Below are 15,846 nucleotides of genomic sequence, written 5' to 3' on the forward strand. Positions count from 1 at the left end.
GGAGAGAACATGTTTCTATTGTTTTAAGCCAAATTTGTTCCAACAGTGGCAGGAAGCTCATATACTGTCTTAACACATTCTGTTCTCCTACCTGGAATGCCTTCCCCTCTGCACGCACCTCTCTCAGGCCCACCTGTAGGAAGCTTTATCCACAGTCTTTACCCACAGTCTCTGGATGTCCTCCCTCCTGGCAAGAGGCAGAGGCCACTCTCCCACAGGGCCACTGCTCCCAGCAAAGACTTGCCCTTGTCCGTAGCTCCCTGCGGGTGGCGCTGTGTCTCATGCATTTTGCATTGTCCATGCCCTTCACAGGGCCCAGATACAATCAGCAGAGGAAGAAAACCACAGGATGAAACAGTCCCAATGACCAGCACCAGTGAAGACCCAAGACAGCACAAAAGGCCAGCTAGCAGAGAAACATGATTGTTCACCGTCCATCTCTGGGACAACCTAGGTCCTTCTTGCCTTTCTGTCCTCCTCAGTTGACAGAGTCTCTAAGGGAGGGGCAGGGCCTCCACTTTGTTCCTCCTGGTGTGGAATTCTGACCAAGTGTGTGTGTGTGTGTGTGTGTGTGTGTGTGTGTGTTTGCGCGCGCGCGTGTGTGTTGGGTTCTGTTAAATGCTTGAGCCTGAGACGGGGGGCGGGGCGGGGGGGGGTGCGGGAAAGCCATTTCCTTGCTTAAGCCCAAAGGGTTTCTCCTGACCAGTGGGTCACTCTCATGGCAGATGCCTGGGCAGATTTCTGAAGTGGAGCAAGAGAAATCTTCTCTTCTTCACCTGCTTCAGGGAGGCATCAAAGTGCCAAAAAGGTGGGTTCTGTGGGTCCCCGAGGCCCGTGGCAGGGGCCAGAGTCTGACACCCGCTTTCCCTGGGTTGGGGGCGGGGTGCCTCTGCCAGGAGCCTGGGTTCAGACCAGGCTGGCCTGTGGTCAAAGGCACACTTAGACCCTGGCTGGAGAGTTGGGGCGAGTTACGAGATACCCACTAGGTCACCTGTCAAAGACGGCTAGCCCTCCTGGGGATTTTGAAATCAGGGCACCCGCGGCAAGTTCCCAGGCTGTGCCTGGGGCTCAAGGCGGTGGCTGCTCCTGTGCTCTGGGCTTATTCCCAGGATTCTCAGACGGCTGATGGAAAACGCCCCGGACCCTCCGTAGTGCCGCGGGGAAGTCCCCGGAAAGGGTGTGAAAAAGTATCGAATTTGGGTGATGCCTCCTCCTCGTCCAGCGCCTGACAGGGCCCAGCTCCTGGCCCAGGTGCCCAGGAGGCACCGATCCCCGCAGCCGGCCTCCTCCCGCGCGGGCTCCACTCCCATTTCGGCCTCGCCCCCACACCCCATAGTCTTTCATCCGTGAGTCCTGCAGGCAGGACGGGTTGGAGGTCTGCAAACAGGACCCTCTCTGGGAAGCCGCGACAGCGGCTGAGCTCGGGGTTTGGGGGCGCAGGTCGGGCTAGAACCACCCCCCTTCTCTCCGCGTCCGGGCATCGTCCCAGCGGCCCCTCCTCTGTGCCCAGGATGCTCGGGCGGCGGCTGCAGTGGGACCTCCACCTTCTCTGCCAACCAGAGCGGAGGAACCTTTCCGCCTCCCTCCAAGCGGCGCACTGAGCGCTCTTTGCCTAGAACGACTTCCCTCCCGCTGCCTGGGGCAGCCTCACCCTGGGCGCCCACACCCCAGCCCTGGGAGAGCGCTACTCCGCCTCCCGCACCACCGAAAACCTCCTCCTCCTTTACGGGCCGCGCCTCCTTTACGGGCCGCGCCCCCTTTATACGCGGACGCGCCCTCTTTTGGTCGCCCCCTCCCCAACCCAGCACTAAGGAGCACCCTGCTCTGGTCTCCGCCACCACCCAGCGCCTCCTGGACCCATCCCCCCAAACCCTTGAACGTCCTCAGGACCCCCAGGTGAGCGCGGCGCGCTGCGGGCGGGGACCCTCTCTGCACCTCCCCGCACCCCTGGGGGTCGCTCTGTCCCTACGGTCCCCGCCTCCCCTTTCTCCTTTCTAAGCGCCTCGCGCCCAGGCCGCCGCCCGGGGTGGCGCAGCCCGCAGCCCTCCCGCTCCGGGCGCCCTCCGCCGCTCCGAGACCCCCTGGGGGCGCGTCCTCTCCCGCTCCCCTGTTCCCTCCCCCGGCTCAGGGCGGGCGCGTGGTCCCAGGGGAGGCTCCCGCCCAGCCCCGCACTCCTTTGTGCGGCCGGGCGGGCGCTGCGTCAAGGTGGAGGCGCGGCCACACGCGCGCACCCACCCGCGCGCACCCAGCCCCCGGGAGAGGCAGGAAGGGAGGCGGCGGCGCGAGGAGGAGGGAGCGGCCGTGGAGCCCAATCGTTCGCTCCCCTTCCCGGGTCCGCGCGCGGCGCCGCCTCCGCCATTGCTGCGAGCAGGAGCAGGAGACGCGGAGCTCGGAGCGCTCAGCTGACCTGCCGGAGCCGGGCGTGGGTGAGTGCGGCCGGCCGCGCCTGGGCTTGCCGAGGCCAGACCTTGCCCGCCCAGGAGCAGTGCCCGGGGGATGCCCATCTCCCGGAGTACGCGGGACGGGGCTGTGAACAGCGGGTCGCCCGGGTGCGGCGGCCCCAGGACCGGGGACCGGGTCTGGAGGTGCTGGGCAGGGGCGGCGCCCCCTTCCCTGGCCGCGGTGCGCCCTTGCGCCCGGCGCTTGGGTCCTGCGAGATGAGGGTCTAGAAATACACAGCACCACCCGACCCCCGCATCGGGCCGTGACCACCGCGTCCCCACGAGCCCTCCCCGAGACGAAGCGGGGCCGGGGAGCTCGCGGACGCCGGGACGCCGGTGGGTGTGGGTGCCCACTTCCCCCCCGCCCCGCCCCGGGTCTTGCTTGTGGTGACTCCCCCCGGCCCTCCCGCCGCAGGCTGCAGCCTCGGAGCTCCCGGAACGATGGTGAAGTTGGGGAACAATTTCGCAGAGAAGGGCACCAAGCAGCCGCTGCTGGAGGATGGCTTCGACACCATTCCCCTGATGACGCCCCTCGATGTCAATCAGCTGCAGTTCCCGCCCCCGGATAAGGTAAGCCCCCCCACGCCCCTCCACGTTGCCGGGTGTGCACCCCCAAATCTCGCACGGCGGGCGCAACAAAAGAAACGCGCCGCGTGCGCTGGGTACGCGAAGTGGGGGCGGGCTCGGGAGGCCGGAGGGAGCGCGGCGAGGACAGTGTACCCGCGCGGGATTCTGGATCGCGGGATGCTGGGCGGGGGAGGGGAGCCCTGCCTTAGATGATATTCTCGTCCTGACAGTGGAACGCGGTGGGGCAAGATTCCTTCGCGTTTTTCCTGGGAGCCTCATCCGAGAGGGCCCTGGCCCCGCAGCTGCCCTGCTCCTCCCTTGCCCCGTGGCCCCAGGGGCTCTGGATCGGGGGTGAGCCTAGGGGCGGGCGAGGCTGCCCCTGTACCTTCCCGGGTGTGGCAGTTCAGCCCGACTTGCCCCACCGAGGCGGGGGAGCGTTCTCCTTGGTCAGATGGCCCCTCCCCAGGGCTGAATTGTTCTCGCCCTTTCTGCCTGCCCCTGCCAGGCTGGCGCTAGGTGCAGGAGGGTGTGCGCGCTCACACAGGGTCTCCTTCCTCTTTGTTCCTTTTGTGAAATCTCCAAATAAGTGCCCGGGCTCGCTCAGTATTGGTGTCACTGGGAAAAACCATTCATCAACCTTTCCCCAAAGTGTTTTCTGCTGAATTTAAAGAATCTCCTCTTTTTGAATGTAGCATCCAATTAAGTAGTTTCTGTTTGCTAAGAATAATATTTCCAAGAGTTAACACTTAAAAATGTAAATAGATCTTTGCATGTCTAGGCAATTGTACTGTAAAATTCACATCTAAGACCATAGACACAGCATCTACTCTCAGCATCTTGCTGCCGCTTACGAACCACCACAGCCACGAATAATTCCCGGAAGTGCTTTTCTATTTATTTTCTCATTTAGTCCCTGGTGAAGGGGCTCTGAGCCAGGGCTCTGTCTTCGTTCCAGCAAGTTGGTGATTGCTGACGGGGTGGGTGTTGTGGGGTGGGGGTGTCCTGGTGGGGGCCCTGACCCCTGTGAAGGTGTCCTCCCAGCTTTATTGTGTGTGTCGTCTGGGGAGGGAGGCAGGAGCCGGGAAGAGGCTGGCAGCGGGGGTTTCAGTTCAAGAAAGGGGGATCAGCCGGCCACACCTGTGCCCCCCAGGCCACGGTGGTGCCACTCTGGGCCACTGATGGTCCAGGCTAGGCTTTGCAGGAGGGGCAGGGCTGCCTGAGGCCTCAGCTTCCACTCCACCCCTCCCTGTCTAGGCATCAGACTCGTCCAGTTAGCGGGGCCTGGCCCCGAGGCCCCCACACCCCCTCCTGCCTGGGCCCCCAGCTGCTCGGCTGAGGAGCAGTGGCGCCTGTGCCAGGAACTCCGTGTCCTGAGGCAGCACCTCTATCAGGTGATTCCCCTCACTTGGCCTGAGCCTCCTCTCTTGTCCTCAGTCTGTTCCATTCCAGAACCATTTGGCACAGTTGGTTTATACAGGGAGGAGGGTTTCAGGCAGGTATGAAATCCTCACCAACTAATTAGGTCGACCAGGAGTAGCCTAGGCAGCTCGGAAAGGTGATGAGTCTGCTCTCTCTGCAAGCGTCCGAAGCGGGGCAGCCAGCAGGGATGCTCTTCTCGGGTCCAGCCAGACCTTCCATCCCGGACTTCCCGCCGGGACTGAGTGTGGGTACAAGGGTTATGGCTCTTGGGATCATTTTCCAGAAGGCTTCTAAGGTCACAATGAGGGAACTGAGCCTCAGAGCATTTATGGGACATACCCAAGGTCACTGGGCTGAAGGTTACAGTCCTCCAGGATGCAGAAGTTTCTGGCAGTGCCTCTTACTCCACTGTGCTTGGAGCCAGATGTCTCTCACGTAAGACCTCTCTTAACCTGAACAACAGCAACGTGTTGCTAACGGTCAGAGTTCAGGGAGGCGATGTCACCTGTTTCAGGTGACATGGCTTCTGAGGGGTGGTGACACAGTTGGGTTATAAATGAGAATCTGTTCTGAGAACGTGTATGGAGTGCTGAGGTGCTGGGGTGCAGCGGTGACAGCAGTCACAGTGCTGGCAGCAGAGTCAGGGCTGGTCTCCCCTGACATTTGCCAGACACTTATTCTGCACCAGGAACTATTCTGCCAGTTTTACAGGTTTAAATTCTTTTAATGTGTTGATAATGCCATGAGGTCACTACCATGTTACCCCCATTTTGCAGATGTGGAAATGCAGGCACGGAGAGTTTGAGAATTGCCCAAGGTCACCTAGCCTGTTAGTGGCAGGTGGGGATAGAATCCAGGTCGACAGAATATTGATGGGGCCCCCACATACGGGAGAGGTTTCCATGGGTTTCCTCATCCTCAGCAGTAGCCTTATTTCCCATTCATTGGCCAGTCTAGGCCTGCGTGCTCAAGGTCACATGGCTAGTTGGGTCCAGTCGGGGTTTGAGGATGGCAGGGTGACACCCAACCACTGCCTCAAGCAATGAGTGCCTCACAGGGGTGGGTGCCCAGGCCAACCCATGCCAGGCACCCCTCCCTCTCCACCGCAGGAGCACTGGGTGGAAAAGGAGTTGGGGTCAGAGGCCAAGAGTGTGGTTACAAGGTTTATGGCTCTTGGGATCATTTTTCAGTGACCCTGGAATGGGCTCCGCTGTTCTTTCTCCCCAAGGCTGGCTTTGGGGGTCGTAGCACCGGATGAGAGGCCCTCTGGCTGCCCGCCTGGGGCTGACCATCCCCAGTTGCTGGGGTCTCTTTGTTCTGTCCTGGTCCCCACCATCGTGGAGAGCAGGTGACGGACTGCCCAATGAAGGGGCCTCGTCCCTCGGGGGAGAAAGAGCTTGGAGGTGGCTGGCTGTCTCTAGTGCAACAGCCTCTCCTGGAACCTGGCTTGGGGAGCGGGGTTTGGGGATTAGAGACCTATAACACCTTGACCCTGCTCTTGAACACCTCCCAGTCCAGTGGGACAGAGAAGTAAACAGTCCCTGGCAACGGGTGTGGTGAGTGATGAAGGCAGCGCCGCTGAGGCCAGGGCTGTGAGTGTCCAGGGCTGGGAGGCTTCTTGGGTCCATCTGAAGCTGCTGGGGTGTAGGGCAGATGCAAGGGCTGGTTTCCAGGTTGGACAAACATCGTTCTGCTTCACAGTAGGGGGTGGAGGGGAATGAGAGCAGGGAGACCCTTTGGGGGCTGTGGCAGGGGCAGGGGGAGAGGAGGATGTGGGGGTGGAGACAAAGAGGTTGATCCTGGATCTGTTTCCAGACAAGCTGGTGGCCAGCTTCTCCAGCCAGTCCTGGAGGGCTGTGGACAGTACCCTCAGACCTCCTCTTCTTGTGCCCATGGTGGCACAGCAAGGCCAGTGAAAAGGCAGGTGCAGCCTCCCAGCTTCCTGGGCCAAGCCAGGCTTTGGCTCTGGTGGGTGGAAGGAGCACTGGGTTAGGAGTCAGCTGCCAGGCTGCATCCCCGCCCTGCCGCCTATAAACCGCATGACCTTGGCCAATGAGCTTAACTTCTGTGCCCCTCGGTTATAATATTTCCCTCCTGGGACTGCTATCAGGATTATGAATGGGTCATTTCTCTGAAAGTCCTGCCACAGAGGAGATTTCCAAAAAGTAGTGGCTGTTCTCGTTCTTGTGAATTTCTTCCTGGCAAATGGTGACTTTGAATATGGGAGTTCCCAGACCCACCCTCTTTGGGCAGATATGTCTGAATGCATCTGACTTTTGTTTCTCTGTTTCCTGGATAAGGTGGTCGTGAAAACTAAGACCGAGTATGAACCTGACCGCAAGAAAGGGAAAGCACGTCCTCCCCAAATTGCTGAGTTCACCGTCAGCATCACGGAGGGTGTCACCGAGAGGTTTAAGGTGAGTGGTCCTGTGCTGGGTGAGATGCTGCTTTTGCCCCCAGAAGGGGTCTGCTGAGCTGCATAGATGCCCTGCAGGGAGGGCCAGGGTTTGACGCCGTTTGTCTGGGCTCATCCCAGCTGTGCACACCCAGTAGCTTGTGACTGCCTGCCAAGATGTTGTCCTTGTGCTTTTTGTACATTTCTTTTTTCTTTTCCTCTTCCAAAATGATCACATATTACTTATTTTTATAACAGGGGAAACCCACCCACAAACTGTCTTTTAGGCAAAGATTATAAACATATGAAAAATCACTTACCAAACATTACAATATTTACTTAACAGTTCCAGGAAGGAAGCAGGCAATAACAAAAAGATAACGCACAGCACTGATCACATGCCAGAAAGGGGTCCCAGCCCTTTACCTAGTGAGCTCATCTGAGCAACCCTCCTGGCACACCAGTACTATCGGTATAACCCATTTTGCAGATGGAAAGGTTGAGGCACAGAGTGGTCACAGCTCTACACAGCAGAGCCAGGATCTGATCTGCAGGGGGTCTGGCTTTGGGCCTGTGTGTATCCTCCATCCTTCCCCCCATCCCAATGGGATGAAGGGGTGCTGCTGAGAGCGGGAGGGTTCCAGCCTGTCTCGGTGGGAGGAGCCTTCTTGCCAGCCTGGCTGCCTTCAGAGGCCACGTTGGTTGAAGAACAAGTTGGGATATTGATCAGGAAACTCATTCTTTGGGAAACATGAGAGAGAGAGAGTAAAGCGGTAGCCTCATCCAGATTCAAGGAGGTGAATTGAGAGACATCAGTGGGCCCCAGGCCTTGCAGAGTGGCCCTGTCTGGCTCTCTGGTCACCCTCCACTTGGCAGTGTGAGCAGTTTGCTTGTGCTGGGGGCACAGGGACTCCCACCCCCACCCGCTGCAGTTTCCAGAGCCCCTGTGGGTATGGCATCATATTGGATCTCTGTGACAACCTTGTGGATCACAGAAGGTGGGACTGGGAGCCATCCCTGGTTAACAGATGAAGCCAAAACCACAGAGTGACTGGGGAAGCCAGGGCGTAATCTGACTTTCAGTCCCTCCTTCTTCCCGTTGCCACACACTGCCTGTCAGGGCCTGCCTGGTCCAGCGGGTCCCATGAGTGTTGCTGTGGGGCAATTACTTGTGTCAGCTCAGCAAATCCTCCCAGCAGCCCTCTGCCTGCTCCCTACTAATAGTAGGTACTATTTGTATTACCAGTGTTACAGATGGGGAAGTCGAGGCACAGAGCAGTCTGTGTCTGTCCCTGCTGGTATGTAAGGATGTCGTGTGTGCCGAGAGGCTCTTTTGGTGGCTCCTGGCTCGGCCCATCGTACGTTTTTGAGGTTCTTGGCCAGGACCAAGACATACTGATCCGAGGTCAATACCTGTCTTCTGCGCTGGCCAGTGGGATTAGCGCGTGCCTTATCTGCTGCCACTCACCTGTCCTGCCCCATTTGCACCCTGGGTTTGGCTGCTGTCCCTGGTTGAGGCAGGAGTGGCCTTGATTTCAAGGTCATGGTGTCCTCTGTCCTGATGGCTAAATGCTGTGTGATGTCTGAGTGTGTCTGGGTTTCTCAGGCCCCACTTGCCCTTTGCTTTCCCAGCCCCGGCGTTTTAGGTCCCCACAGAGCAGGGCGCAGTGCGGCACTTGAACAGCTATTCCTTCATCTGTTGAGTGTCTATGATGTGCCAGCCTCTGTCCCCGACCTCTGGTGTTCTTCATTTGCACTTTTCCCACATGACCACCTGAAGCAGGTCCCCAGGTCTCTTGCCTAAGGAATGGGTGATGCATATTTGCCACCAGGGCCCTTGGCAGCCTTGGCTGGGACTCTGTGGTTACCTGGCCCCTGTTGCCCAGAACCTGAAGGCTCAGAAGACCATGGGTGATTATGCTCATCCCAATAGACTGGCTGCTGGCAGCAGAAGCCCTGCCTCATCTCCCTGCCTCTACCTCCTGTGGCTGTCTGAGAAGGCGATGTATGCAGTAGGTGCTCAGTACATGACTATACTGGACTAAGTCTGCTGGGTGTGTTCCTCTGCTTAGTTTTCTTTTCCTCCTTTATGATTCACAACTGCCCTGAAGGGGTGGCATCGGCCCCTTTACACGTAAGGCTGTTGAGTCCCAGGTGGTCCCAGGGTGGCTGGGGTGCTCCCTCTGTGACTCTCTAGCTTCAAAGCCAAGGCCTTCCCAACATACCTTGCACCACATCCCTCCCCACTCCCATGGGACGCCTGCTGCTTCCCAGACCCCATCCCTTCCATCTCCTCCCAGGGCAGGTGCAGATCACACCTCTGCCAGGAAGCCTCCTGGGTCACTCTCATTTGCAACAGACCTCACCGCCCTGTTTCCAGTGCCTTTTGTAGCCAGGCTGCAATGGCATCTAACAGTGACGGAGTGATCCATGAGCTAGACTCTGCTTCACACTCCTAATGCTCATATTGTCTCATTTAATCTTCATAAACACCTCAGGAGGTAGGCGCCCTTATAGCTCCATTTTACATAGAGGGGAAACTGAGGCAGAGAGCCTTGGCAGCCTGCTCTTGGCTGTGGCACCAGAGGTCCTTGGTTTCTTGGAGAAGTGGGTTTGTGTGGGAGCACTCACCCCAGGCGCCATCGCTGTTGAGCCATTCCACTTCTTCAAATCCTTTTCCTTTGTTGATTCAAAACCCTTGCTCTGCTGCCTTGAGCCACACAGAATGTGCGGCGCCCTCCTTCCCCATCCCCAAGGCCTTCAGAGACATGGCAGGCACAGGTACCCCGGAAGCCTCCCCAGTGTACAGCTTCTTTTTCTCTTGTGTCTTTCTGAGTCCTGGTTTCCACGCTCCCTTCCCCCAGGTGCTCTCTTTTGAGGGTCTGGGTTGGGCTGTCTTCTCTTTGGGTGTGAAACCTGTGACTGGGTGTCCTGGCAAGGTCCATTGGTGTGGCCCTTCCAAGCATAGGCCCCCTCGACCTGAACTGGTGACCCGAGGAGGGGAACAAGGCCATGGAGACCCCCTGAGCCAAGAATGTCAGCCAAGAATGAATGCTTAGGGACTCTTTGTGCAGACGGAACTTACTCATCAGCCGCTCTATGCCAGCCATGGTAAGAGCTCCTTGATATCATCTCTCTGGCGCTTCTTGCACACACAGTAACAGCTTGATAAGTAAATGGATGACTAATTGTGCTGCTGGCCTCCCATGAATGGGGTACTTGGCGAGATTTCCTGGGTCTGCCCGTGGGTCCTTGCTTGTTGAGTAAGTTCAGCTGGCAGCTCATTGGATTGAAGCCTCTCTCGGGGCCATGCTTACGCGTAAGCCTCTAACAGGTGATGCCTGTCAGCTCTCACCAAGTCAGACAGGTGACCTGCTCAAGACCACACAGTCAGTGAGTGGCAGAGGCAGAGTAGGAGCTGGGCAGCCGGCTCTAGAAGCCTGTTGCTGTGGCATACTTCAGCCCACTAGCTTGCCCAGGAAGCCTGCAGGCTGGACTTTCGCAGCTGAACAACTTGCATTCTAAGGGCATCTCTTCTCTGTGCCTGCTCCGAGCCCCTTCTCAACTGGGAAGGAGATTTACCTAGCTCCCTGCCCACTTGCTGTGGGGTGGATGTGAGAGGCAGCCTCCAAAGTGCTGCTTCCCCAGGTGTTTCTGGAGCCACCTGAGTCAGCATCACCTGAAGTTTGATTTTAACTTGGACCCTGAACCGCAGGGAGATGCGTTTTGACAAATGCTTTCCAGGTGATCCTAATGTGTCCTGAGTTTTCGAGCCTTTCCGATGGGGGTGCATTCCAGCACAGAAGCTGGGAAGGATGAGGAGGGCTGGTGCTTTTTGGGAATGCTAAGGGTGCCCACCTTTCTGGAATGTTCTCCCAGCTTTTTATTACCCAGTTAGATTTCTGGCATCCCTGAACGCGTGCACACAATGAGGCGTGTGTGAAGCTGCAGCTGGTTGAGGGCTGGGCGGGTCTCTCTTTCTGAAACGGGAGCATATGGGGAGCAGGCTATGCTGGAGACACGGGCATGATGGAGGGTCCGCAATAGAGATTCACCCTCCCTGGCTTGTGTACCCCCCTGCCAGGGCCCAGTCGAAGCTGTGGTTGGGACAGAGCATCTTCCTCGTCCCACTAGTGACTGGACAGCTTCTGTGCAGCTCCCTGGCCCAGCCATCATCTTAGCTCTTTCATCTCCATGCATGAATTGCAGGAATGGAATCTCGCCTTTCCGATCTTGAAGTGACAGGTAAATCGTTTGTCCCCTCCTCTCTCCAATTTGTGTAGCTCAGAAGCACCTCATCTTTATAGGCGTTTGGATGGCATCCTTGAAACGGAGTGTCTTTTTGCATGCAGCTTTCTGATTGTCACTTGGGGATTAATCTCTTGGCTGTGAGGTTACTAGGCTGGTTGCTAGGTAACTGCTGACTGGGAGAAGGTTCTGAGAGACTCCGCCACACGGGATGGCAGGAGGACTCCCCCAGCGGCGGCCAGCTGCTTGGGCTTCCAAAGAGGTTCTTGTCAAGGAAAGCAGTCGCTTAATTAACTGGAGGCATATTTACAGTGAGAATAAACACTGGCTGAGATGTTTCTCAACCAAACCTAAACATTTTTGAAATTGCACTTCCCCACTGATGCCTGCAGAGTGGCGGGTCGGGGCTGCTGGGGCCGCTGCTTGCAGTTCTCCTTCCGGTCTGGAGACTGTCATTAGGGGCCGTCATCAGACAGGTGACAGGAAGGCTCCCTCAGGGCCCGCTCCAGCCCTTCGTGCTTCGTGATTCCGGTGATGACCGGTTGCTGACGCTGGAGAGGTCTCCACACCCTGTTTGCCTGTGATGTGAGGTCAGGTTTGGGTGGTCCAGCCTTGACCCTCACCGGGTACCATGTCACCCTGGGGCCTTGAGAGATCTGAAGGTCGGCTTTGCACGGGAACACCTTTCACCGCCAGCACAGGGCTGGGGAGTGACTTGGCAGGAGAGCCCTCGTTAGTCTGCGTGGTCCCCCTGGTTGGCAGTCCAGACTCTGGTGGGGACGTCCCTCTGCATCCTGTCGCAGAGGACTCTGTGGGTGGTTTGTGTCTTTTCTTCACATCCCTAATGACCTTGAGCTTCCTGCGTGCCCATCTGTTTCCACATTCTCCAGTAAGCCCCTGGTGTGTTCCCTAATGACCTTGAGCTTCCTGCGTGCGCATCTGTTTCCACATTCTCCAGTAAGCCCCTGGTGTGTTTCAAGATGCATTTCTTAAATATTTATGAAGAGTGATGCCGTTTCCTTGGCATTCAGCAGTGGGGGTGGGGGTTCTTCCCGTGGGGGTGGTATTGGAGACCCTGAAGGTGTGTGTGGACGCCCCCTCACCTTTAGCTATGCGAGCATCTTGTAGGATCCTGGGGCTGTGGTTGCAGAGCCCACCTTCCCCAGGCTAGCTGTAGTGTGGGGGCTTCGGCTGAATCAGATACCACGTGGGTTCAGTCATCTGTGTGTGTGTGTGTGTGTGTATGTATTCACTTTTGTGTGGGTTACCTAAAATATTTAGTGCTGTAAACGCTTGAAGATGTCGGGATTCATCTTCTTTTTCCAAGTTTTTTCCTTTTTTTTTTTTTTTAAACTGAATTACTCAGCAGAAATGCTCATTTCCTTCTCCCTCCGCCTGAGGGTAGGAGGATGGGGAGAGTAACAGCAGCCACCCAGCGCCGTCGACCTGGCGCCATCGACCCAGTGCATGCCTGGGCTTGGGGCGCCATGAGCACTGTCTCGTTCCCTGTTAGTCTCTGATGGTTGACCCTGCTGTCCTGATTTTGTAGGTGGGGAAATAAGGCCAGAAAGGTTAAGGAACAGACCCAAGGTCACCCAGCTAATGAGGGTGACACACCAAATCCCACTGTGCTCCGTCCTCCATGCCAGTGGGGTGTGCAGGGCAACTCCCCTGTGGACCCTGAGCTGGGCAGTGGCCCCAGACCTGAGAGGGCAGACGGGAGCACAGCCAGTGCTGAGGCCGCTCACGCTTCCCTGTCCAGACGGTGAGCGTTCCCAGAACAAGGCCACGGGCCACTGCCTTTCACGTGAGTGACCATGTAACTCCTGGCCCAGGTGGGGCCCTTCTGTGAGTGACAGCAGACACAGTGATTGGCCAGGATGCTGGGTGGCGGCCATCACCCAGGACCCCCAAGCCTCGAGGACACATATTCCCTCCTTATCCACTCGTTATAAACGCACCCTGAGGCCCAGATCCTGTTTGTATTTCTCTGTTCCCGGCTGTTCTTTCCAGAAAACACTCCTCAGGTCTCCCTTGCCTTCCACTGGGGCTCATGGCCTCTTGTCAGCACACCCACAATAGTTTGCGACACCAGCCTCCCGCCTCTCTCCTCTGGCCCATTCTTTATTTTTTTCTTTTTCTTTTTTACTTTTTGAGATGGAGTCTTGCTGTGTCACCCAGGCTGGAGTGCAGTGGCACGATCTCGGCTCACTGCAACCTCCACCCCACCAGGTTCAAGTGATTCTCCTGCCTCAGCCTCCTAAGTAGCTGGTATTACAGGCACCTGCCACCATGCCCGGCTAATTTTTGTATTTTTAGTGGAGATGGGGTTTCACTATCTTGGCCAGGCTGGTCTTGAATTCCTGACCTCGTGATCCACCTGCCTCGGCCTCCCAAAGTGCTGTGATTACAGGTGTGAGCCACCACGCCCGGCTTGGCCCATTCTTTAAATAATTGTGGTAAAATATGCAAAATATAAAACTTACCGCTTTAAGGTAAGTGCCATATTAAATTCAGTGCCATTTAATACATTCACCATGTTGTCCAACCACCATCACTAAGCTAGTTCCAGCACATTTTTATCACCCCAAAAGGAGACCCCATTCCCATTAAGCAGTCACTCCCATGCCCCCCCCCACAGCCCCTGGTTAGCCACAAATCTGTTTTGTGTCCCTGTGACTTACCTATTCTAGACATGTCATAGAAATAGAATCTTGTAAGATGTGATGTGACCATCTATCTGGCCTCTTTCACTTAGCATGCTATTTCAAAGCTCAGCTACGTTGTAGCACTTACAACTGCTTCATTCCTTTTCATGGCTGAGTAATATTCCATTGTACCGATAGACCACATTTTGTTTATTGATTCATTGGTTGATAGACATTTGGGTTGTTTCCACATTTGGGCTGTTGTGGGTAGCGCTGCTGTGAACATTCATTTACAGGTTTTTGTTTGAATACCTGTTGAATTTTTGGGGGTATATGCCCCGGAGTAGAATTGCTGGGCTGTGTGGTAATTTGATATTTAACGTATTGTGGAGTTACCAAACTTCTCCACAGAGCTGTACCATTTTACATTGCCATTAGCAATGCACAATGGTTTCAATTTCTCCACATCCTCACCAGCACTTGTTTGTTTTTATTTTATTTTATTATAGCCATCCTAGTGGATATGAAGTAGTATCTCATTATGGTTTTGATTTGTATTTTCCTAATGGCTAATGATGTCCTGCATCTTTTCATGTACTTGTTGGCCATTTGTATCTCTTCTTCAGAGAGATGTCTACTCAAGTCCTTTCTCATTTTTTAATCAGTTTGTTTGTGTTTTTATTGTTGTTGTTTTTGAGACAGGGTCTCACTCTGTCGCCGAGGCTGGAGTGCAGTGGTGGGATCTCAGCTCACTGCAGCCTCGACCTCCTGGGCTCAAGTGATCCTCCCACCTCAGCCCCTGGAGTAGCTGGGACTACAGGCATTCACCACCACACCCAGCTAATTTTCATATTTTTTGTAGAGATGGGGTTTCACTATGTTGCCCAGGCTGGTCTCAAACTCCTGGACTCAAGCATTCCTCCTGCCTTGGGCTCCCAAAGTGCTGGGATTACAGGTGTGAGCCACCTCACCCAGCCGTGTTTTTGTTGTTGAGTTGTAAGAGTTCCTTATATATTTTGGATATATATAAGCCCTTGTAAGATATGCTTATATATATATAAGCCCTTGTAAGATATGTGATTTGTAAATATTTTCTACCATTCTATAGGTTCTTTTTTCACTTTCTTGCTAGTTTCTTTGATAAACAAAATCTTACATTTTTGGTGAAGTATCATTTATTTTTTCTTCTATTGCTTGTATTTTTGGTGTCATAGCTATCTAAGATAGCGGTCCCCAACCTTTTTGGCACCAGGGACTGGTTTTGTGGAAGACAGTTTTTGTACTGACCAGGGAGCAGGGGATGGTTTTGGGATGAAACTAGATCATCAGGCATTAGATCCTCATAAGGAGAACACAACCTAGATTCTCATAAGGAGAACACAACTTGCATGCACAGTTCACAATAGGGTTCATGCTCCTATGAGAATCTAATGCTGCCACTGATCTGACAGGAGACAGAGCTCAGGCAATAATGCTTGCTCACCTGCCACTCATCTCCTGCTGTGCAGACCAGTTCCTAACAGGCCATGGACTGGTACTGGTCTGCAGCCCAGGGGTTCGGGACCCCTGATCTAAGACACCATTGCCAAATCACATGAAGATTTTTCCCTTGTGTTTTCTTCTAAGAGTTTTATGGCTTAGCTTTTATATTTAGATATTTGACTCAATTGAGTTAGTTTTTATATATGGTATGAGGTAAGGGTCACATTCTTTTGCATGTGGTCCTAACAGCATTGTTGAAGAGACTGTTCTTTCCTTATTGAATGAATGGTCTTGGCCCCCTTATTGAAAATCAGTTGACCATGGACTCATAGTTTTGTTTCTGGACTCTCAATTGTATTACGTGGATTTATATATCTCGTCTTATGCTAATACCACTCCGTTTTGATTATCGTAGCTTTGTAGTAAGTTTTAAAATTGAGAACTCCTCCAATTTGTTCTTTGTTTTCAAGACTGGTTTTGAAAACAGTTTTGGCTCTTTAGGGTCCCTTGTAATTTCCATTTTCGGCAAACAAACAAAAAGACCTTTGGGTTGCTGACAGAGATGGTTTTGAATCTGTAGATCAGTTTGGAAAGTGTTCCCATCCTAACAATATTATGTTTTTCAATCTGTGAACACAGGGTATCT

At 54.9% G+C, this 15,846-nt stretch overlaps 1 protein-coding gene across 8 annotated transcripts in view, besides 2 other annotated features; it reads left to right on the plus strand.

Moving 5' to 3' along the window:
- The first annotated feature begins 1,784 nt into the window (after nucleotides 1-1,784).
- NSG1 (neuronal vesicle trafficking associated 1) overlaps nucleotides 1,785-15,846 on the plus strand; it is a 32,527-nt gene continuing 18,465 nt past the window's right edge. For 2 of the 8 annotated variants that reach the window (NR_167932.1, NM_014392.5), the window contains exons 1-3: nucleotides 2,355-2,426; nucleotides 2,857-3,011; nucleotides 6,728-6,844. Coding sequence is in view for 6 of the 8 variants with exons in the window: in NM_014392.5 (NP_055207.1) it covers nucleotides 2,883-3,011; nucleotides 6,728-6,844 (246 nt within the window). In the remaining 2 variants the exon portion in view is untranslated. Of the gene's footprint in view, nucleotides 1,897-2,354; nucleotides 2,427-2,856; nucleotides 3,012-3,238; nucleotides 3,360-6,727; nucleotides 6,845-15,846 lie in introns of those variants that run through there. The other 6 variants (NM_001287763.2, NM_001382227.1, NM_001040101.2 and 3 more) reach the window with 6 other exon arrangements.
- Nucleotides 11,643-12,190: an enhancer, noted in NCBI's record as "H3K4me1 hESC enhancer chr4:4398117-4398664 (GRCh37/hg19 assembly coordinates)". NCBI's record gives its function as "activates a minimal SCP1, AML or CMV promoter by ChIP-STARR-seq in naive H9 embryonic stem cells {active_cell/tissue: H9 hESC(naive)}" and the evidence as "EXISTENCE:reporter gene assay evidence [ECO:0000049][PMID:30033119]".
- Nucleotides 12,191-12,739: an enhancer, noted in NCBI's record as "H3K27ac-H3K4me1 hESC enhancer chr4:4398665-4399213 (GRCh37/hg19 assembly coordinates)". NCBI's record gives its function as "activates a minimal SCP1, AML or CMV promoter by ChIP-STARR-seq in naive H9 embryonic stem cells {active_cell/tissue: H9 hESC(naive)}" and the evidence as "EXISTENCE:reporter gene assay evidence [ECO:0000049][PMID:30033119]".

This window comes from Homo sapiens, chromosome 4 (assembly GCF_000001405.40).
Source record: "Homo sapiens chromosome 4, GRCh38.p14 Primary Assembly".
Lineage (NCBI taxonomy): Eukaryota > Metazoa > Chordata > Mammalia > Primates > Hominidae > Homo > Homo sapiens.